The sequence below is a fragment of the Homo sapiens genome, chromosome 15 (assembly GCF_000001405.40).
Source record: "Homo sapiens chromosome 15, GRCh38.p14 Primary Assembly".
Taxonomy (NCBI): domain Eukaryota; kingdom Metazoa; phylum Chordata; class Mammalia; order Primates; family Hominidae; genus Homo; species Homo sapiens.
This window is the reverse complement of record NC_000015.10, coordinates 101,827,910-101,835,569: the sequence shown is the minus strand read 5'-3', so window position 1 is coordinate 101,835,569 and position 7,660 is coordinate 101,827,910. Positions and strand designations below refer to the sequence as shown.

Here is a 7,660-nt window from a genome sequence, read left to right as displayed (position 1 = left end):
TCAGTAGACTAGTGAGTTCCATGTGTGTGAGCTTATCATTATACTTCATTTGCTGTAAAATATATCATTTGCTGTAAAATATATTCATTTGCTGTAAAATATACCTGGTCAGATGCAATATTGTGTCAATATCATGGTGATCAATAAGGTATTCTATAGGCCCATAAATGATTGGGTTGTTGTGATCTGTTGAGAGTGTATCACTCAGGGGTTGATCAGAGAAGTAGAACCACTATAACTGATATAGAGTAAGAAATTTCTTATAGGCATTAGACCTTACGCAATTGTGGAAGCCATTAAGCGATCTATGTATGTCTGTTTCCATTGAATCTCATGCTGGGCCTAAAGCCAGTAGAGCCAGTACTATGGAAGGGAAAATGGACACGAAGTAGAGGAGGCCAAGGACAAATTAGAACAGTGTCTCCTTGAGTGCTTCCAACTCTGATGTACTTGCACCTGGTTCAGGACTCGGAGGATCTAAGGGAGAGACATCAGCAAGGTGAGCCAGCATACCAGTGACAGTATGTGTGAGCTGCAGCAGTACCTTCTCTCCACCAACTTCACATCAAAAGTAACTACTGCTTCACTTCCACCTTCCAAATCTTACACAAACTTTTCTTATGGTAAGCCCTAACATGGAAACATACATGGAGGGGAATTCTGGGAATCATAGTTCTGGTTTAGCTATGTTGAAAAAGTATACAGATAAGAGTCCAATTTAATTATTTTGCATGTAGAGTTCCAGTTTTCCTGTGCCATCTATTGAAAAGACTTTCATTTCCCCATTGGGTCTTCTCAGTGTCCATGTTAAAAATTAGATAATCATATATGCTTGGGTTTATCTTTTGGATTTCTATTCTATTCCATTGGTCTATATATCTGTTTTCATGTCAATACCATACAGTTTTGATTAATATAACTTTGCACTATAATTTGAAATCAGGTAGTGTGATGCCTCCAACTTTATTTTTTTTTTCTTAAGATTGCTTTGGCTATTTGGGGTCTTTTGTGGTTCCATACAAAATTGAGAATTTTAAATTTCTGTTTAAAATGCCATGGGAATGTTGACAGAGATTGCATTGAATCTGCTGTTAGTGTGTAGAAATGCTATCAATTTTTGTATGTTGATTTTATACATGCAACTTTACTGAATTGGTTTATTAGTCATTCTGTCTTTTTATTGCCAAACTTTGACTATTAACATCTAAAGTAATTACCAATAAATAAGAATTTACTATTTACAGTTACTTAATGGTTTTATGGCTGTTTGTGGAGCCTTTGTTCCTTTATTTGTCCCTTGCTGCCTTCCTTTGTGATCTGATGCTTTTCTGTAGTGGTATGTTTTGATTCCTTTTTTTTTTTTCTTTTTTTAGATGGAGTCTGGCTCTGTTGCCCAGGCTGGAGTGCATTGGCACGATCTCTGCTCTCTGCAAGCTCTGCCTCCCAGGTTCACGCCATTCTCCTGCCTCAGCCTCCCGAGTAGGTGGGACTACAGGCACCTGCCACCATGCTCGGCTAATTTTTTGTATTTTTTTAGTAGAGAAGGGGTTTCTCCGTGTGAGTCAGGATGGTCTCGATCTCCTGACCTCGTGATCCACCCGCCTCGGCCTCCCAAAGTGCTGGGATTGCAGGCGTGAGCCACCACACCCAGCCCCTCCTTTCTCTTTATCTTTTGCAAATCAACTATAGGTTCTGCTTTGTGTTTATCATAAAGTTATACTAGTCTATTTTAAGCTGATAACTTAACTTTAATCACATGCCTCAGGTTTGCTGGATGATTTCTAATCCATATGACATTTAAGTGCCTCCTCCAAAATGGATGACCTTTGATGGACATTTATACTGGAACATCTTCACTGAGTACAGGATTGCATTAACCAACCTAGCAGGCTGTTAGCACTTATCCAGGTGCTCAAATCAATTATTAATGCCTAAATCTCAGGTGATATACCATATTGATTTCTGTCTGATTTTTGTCTCATTAGTCTTTTTCAGCCTAACCATTGACTTCACTCATATGTCTTTTCCTCAGACCCCAGCAAATATTTAGAAAATCCTATAACTCTTTTAAACTATATTTTTCAGAGCAGGCTTTGTACTTCTCTATATAAGTTGTAGTGGGACCTAATTCTTGTTGTAGTCCTATGGGCAACTGGTCCAGATAAAGCCAATCAAAAATAAATTTTTTTAATGCAAGGAAAGGCTGGTTTATTCAGACTTGGATGAAAGAGTAGCTCTACCAGCAAAAAGGGTAAGGGATTGGGAGATCAAGTGGCTGTGACATTTAGTTGTAATGGAGATTATAGTGCCTTGCCTTGACCTGCATTTCATTCTATACAAACACAAGTGAAAACTTGAATAATAAGTCTATCTTTATTCTACATACAAGGAGGACTTCCAAAAGTATGTGGAAAAAATGGAATTAAAAGATAAAAATATAAATATAAACTTTTATTTCTCACCATAAGCTCCATCAAGTTCAAGACACTTTTGTGAGCAATGATATCAGCCATTTAGTGTATGTCTACAGAACTGAGGGTCCTAGGAAATTGAACCATGTCAATGCAGATTTTTACACTATTAAATGAAGAAGAAGTCTCATTTAGGGATTTTTTTTTAAGATTAGGAAACAAAAAGAAGTCAGAAGAAGCCAAATGAGGACTTCAGTGTAGATGCCTAATGATTTCCCATCAAAACTCTCACAAAATTGCCCTTGTTTGATGAGAGAAATAAGCAGGAGGAGCTTTGCTTTGGTGGAGAAGAACTCTCTGGTAAAGCTTTCCTGGATGTTTTTCTGCTAAAGCTTTGGCTAACTTTCTCAAAACACTCTCATAATAAGCAAATGTTATTGTCCTTTGGCCCTTTAGAAAGTCAAAAAGCAAAATTCCTTGAGAATCCTCAAAGAAATTGTGGTCATTATCTTTGCTCTTACTGGCCCACTTTTGCTTTGACTGGACCACTTCCACTTCTTGGTAGCCATTGCTTTGATTGTGCTTTGTTTTCAGGATCATACTGGTAAAGCCATGCTTCATGTCCTATTACAATTCTTCAAAGAAATGTTTGAGGATAGCTCCCACTTGTTTTAAATTTCCACGGAAAGCTCTGCTCTTCTCTGCTGTTGATCTAGATGCAACAGTTTTGGCACCTGTCGAGTAAAAAGTTTGCTCACCTTTTTCAGTAAGAATTGTGTAAGCTAAACCAATTAAAATGTATATGGAGTTGGCTATTGTTTGTGCTGTTAATCAGTGGTCCTCTTCAATTAGGGTATAAACAAGATTAATTTTTTTCCTCAAAAATTTATGTGAATGCCCTGCTGTTGCAAGCTTTATCTTCAACATAGAACATAGTCTTATCCCTTTTTAAAATGAGTTATACAATTTTAAACTGATAATTTCTTTGGAGAATTGTCTCCACAAACTTTCTGTAAAGCATCAATGATTTCACCACTTTTCTGCCCAAGCTTCACCATAAATTTGATGTTTGTTCTTGCTTCAATTTTAGAAGAAATCATGTTGCTCTGATATGAGCTCTTTTCAAACTGATGTCCTGTCCTTCCTAGTGCCTCAAACTAGATTCCTTTTAGACATGTTATCACAAGTTAGTATGAGTTTATTTTGGTGCAAAAAGAGTTTGAAACCCATGCATAGTTTTTTTCATAATAAGCACTTTCCATGAACTTGTAGAAGAACCCCTGTGTGATCAAAGTCTAGTACTCCTGAGATAAGGAAGTTATACAGGTACTCCTTAAATATGTGAGCCAGCTAATCCCAGAAATCATTTTGAGGTGCTCTTTCCTGGGGCTTTTCTGTGCACAAATACGTATATCAGGGTCACACCAAGAAAAAGTACAATATTCAAATGGAGTAAACGAGGAAATTTAATTTCCGACAGTGCAAGCGATATTAAAGAAAACCAACAAGGAATGGTTAAGTATCCAGGACTAGCTACAGCAGGAAGCCATTACTGTTTCTAATGCTAAGGGGCAGTGGTCATGGAGAATGTTGTGTGTGTGTGTGTGTGTGTGTGTGTGATGCGTTTGTGTCACTTTATTCATACCTTTATAGAGTGTTCAAATCATCTTAGTAAATGTTTTCTTTTTTCCTACTTTAAGAAAAACATTTACTTCCTTTAAGAAGATGTAAATAGAATAATTGTGGTGGTAAATGGTTATATTTTGAGTGCTCATGAGCTTTACTGGTTACTAAAGTAATTGTGTATGTCAGACAATACTCAATTTTCCATCTTTGAGTTGACAAAGACTCTCCCCTTGACCAAAATTTAGTCAGACTCTTCTTATCCCACTTCCCGAATAAGCCTCAACCTTGGCCCGCTTCTCTACTGAACCTGCATAGCCCAGTTTTAGCAAGAATTCTGCTAAGACAGTTTAGAGAGAATCTTCCAGCCTTGATATCTGGTTATACCTTGATATCTGATCTAATTCCTCCTCTCCATCCTTGATATGTTCTTGCCTCCCTGCAGCCAGAATCCTATTAGGTCAGTTTAGCAAGAATTCTCCCTACCTTTGATGTCACTTTTTAAAATTTTCCACCCACAGAAACTACAACCTGCTCCATAGCCATAAATTCCCACTTGTTTTTGTTGTACTAGGAACTGAGCCCAAACTTTTACCAAGGTCTCTTTTCTACTATTATAATAATTCCTCAATACATGGTTCCTCAAAAATCAATTAATGTTTTTACCACATTAAATATTATCAGGTTTTAGTTTCCTTTAGCAAATACTCTCTATGAAATAAAAGTCAGTTTCTTTGGTTAAAGTCATAATTACTATGAGTGATTGAAACTAGAAGTAATAATAACCAAAAAATACGACAGGCTATGCAATGTAATAGGATCTGGTTTTGTTTATCAAGAGGGACAAAGGGGTAGATTCATTCTAAGATAAAATGTCTAGTTATTTCAATATGTGAAGAACAATAGTGAAAGACAAAACCCAAAGGATACAGAAAGCTGTAGAAGTGTGAGGAAGTAAATTCTGTTTTGTTACATATATGTAACTACAAATAATGCTGCTGAATAGAAGCAATGATACATGTTAAAATTTTGGCAAAGTTTTTCACAGCTCAGCTTTCATGGATCTATTTTTTTTAATCTCAAGAATGCTTTATTGCCAAATATTACATTAAAGTAAGACTAGAATTTGGCTTTCGCTCTGTTTGACATAACAAATGTATTCTTTCTTCTTTTTTTAAAAAAAAACAGTAAATGTTATTCTTTGCCTTCTTTGTAAACGTCCTTGCCAGTAGATAAAAATTCTGTAGTACATAGGAATCACTTTTTGTGCTTTTTGCTGACTTTACCTGCTCCGTTGTTTTAAAAAACATAGTTGATTGCCTATGAAAGAGCAAAAGTTACTTCTACTAACTTTGTTTTAAAAATAGCTTTACTCTGATACATAGGTAACTATATTCTAATCATTTCTATTCACATGTATCTGTACTACCTATACTACGGTTGTGGTTTGATTTGTGTTCACCAAATAGACATGTTAAAGTTCTAACACTGAGTACTGTCAATGTGCCCTTCTTTGCAAATGTTTGTCTTTGCAGATATAGTCAATTTAAGGTCATACTGAATTACAGTGGATGAAGGAGATATTTCTCCCTTTTCAGAAGGCCTTCAGATAGCCTTCCGATTTACATATGTCTAATAATTACCCTTAGGAATTAAGCTCAAAAGTATAATATTTGGTTTCTAAATAATTTATATGTAACTCTTTTCTCTTTTCAGAAGCAAATTTCCCTCCCTCCTAAATGACAAACAAAATAGACCCAATATCCATGTGGATGATCAAATTAAGGTAGGACAAAGAGAAGCTTCAGCAATAAACTTCAATAGTTAATGAAGACACTCACAAAACAAGCCATGACTTAGGAGATCTTCCTGTGATTTACTAGTTGTCGGCATACTTTTCTCATTGCCACCTTCATTTCTCAATTCCTGAATGTGTAGATGATAGGATTTAAAACAGGAGTGAGAACTGCATCAAAGATGGCCAGAAACTTATCCAGGTGTGTGGAGGGAGATGGCCACGTATAGACAAAAATCAAAGGACCAAAGAACAAAACTACCACACTGACGTGAGCTGAAAGGGTGGACAGAGCCTTGGATAAACCAGCTGAAGAGTGTTTCAGAACAGTGAGAATGATGACCACATAGGAAATGATCAGTATGAAGAAGGAGCCCAGAGAGATGAATCCACTGTTGGCTGTAACCATGAACTCCAGTCGGTAGCTGTCTGTGCAGGCAAGTTTGATGAACCGAGGAAGGTCACAGTAAAAGCTGTCCGATACATTAGGACCACAGAAGGGCAAGTTTACTACAAAAACCAATTGAACTACAGAGTGGATAAGGCCGGTCACCCAGGCAGCCACTAAGAAGAACATGCACATTCTTGGGCTCATAATGGTCAGGTACTGGAGGGGCTTACATATGGCCACATATCTGTCAAAGGCCATGGCTATGAGCAGCACCATCTCCACACCGCCAATGACGTGGATGAAGAAGATTTGAGCGATGCAGCCTCCAAAGGAGATGACTTCGTGCTTTCTGAACAGGTCATAAATCATTTTGGGAGAAGTGACAGAGGAAACACCCAGGTCAATGAAGGAGAGGTTGGCTAACAGAAAATACATGGGGGAGTGCAAGTGAGGGTCAGAAGTCACAGTGAGCAAAATGAGAGAGTTTCCCATCATACTGGCCATGTAAAACATGGAGGAGAACACAAGGAGGAGAAGTCGGATCTCCCAGGAATTGGTGAGTCCCAGGAACACAAACTCTGACACCACGGAGTGATTTGCCCCAACCATTGGCTTTGTTAGCAGTGATAGCTAGAGAACAACAGCCAAAAATGTAAATTATAATCATATTAATGAACGAGAAGGAAAGAAGTCAAAGTTATAAAAGTCTATTTCCACTTTAGCGTTAAAACTAACCTAATGACCAACAGGTATATAAAAATCTTATCACTAATCATTAAGGATATAGATTAAAATGACAATGAGACCTTATCTCAGGCCTGTCAGAATAGCTATTACCAAAAAGACAACAGGTAACAAGTCTTGACAAGGCTGTGAAGTGAAGGAACTCTTGTACACTGTTGTTGGGAATGTAATTTGTTTAGCCATTATGAAACACACTATGGAGTTTCCAAAAAAAAAGAACTACCATATAATCTAGAAATCTTATTCTAGGTGTATATTCAAAGGAATTGAAATACATACCTCAAGGAAATATCTGTACACCTATGTTCATCACAGCATTATTCACAATAGCTAAGATGCAGTGTTCATTGAGACATAAGTGGATGGAGAAAATGTGTGTTTGTGTGTGTGTGTGTGTACCTATACAATCGAATACTCTTCCGCCTTACCAAAAAAAAAAGGGAAATTCTGTCATTTGCAACAACATGGATGAACCTGGAGGACATTATGCTAATTGAAGTAAGACAGACACAGAATTACAAATACTGTAAAATCTCACTTATATGTGGAATCTACATAAGTCAAACTCATAGAACTAGAGATTAGAATTAGCAGCTGACAAGGGTTGATGAAGCGGGTAGAGAATGACATGTTACGCACCAGTACCGTGTTTCAGTTAAACAAGACAAATAAATTCTGGAGGCTTCTTGTGAAGCG

At 37.2% G+C, this 7,660-nt stretch overlaps 1 pseudogene, besides 1 other annotated feature; it reads right to left on the bottom strand.

Annotated features, from left to right (window-relative positions):
• Positions 5,575–6,774: an enhancer, noted in NCBI's record as "BRD4-independent group 4 enhancer chr15:102368999-102370198 (GRCh37/hg19 assembly coordinates)". NCBI's record gives its function as "activates an origin of replication core promoter dependent on BRD2, P300/CBP, MED14 and CDK7 cofactors, and independent of BRD4, by STARR-seq in HCT116 cells {active_cell/tissue: HCT116}" and the evidence as "EXISTENCE:reporter gene assay evidence [ECO:0000049][PMID:35650434]".
• On the bottom strand, positions 5,894–6,829 carry OR4F14P (olfactory receptor family 4 subfamily F member 14 pseudogene; annotated as a pseudogene).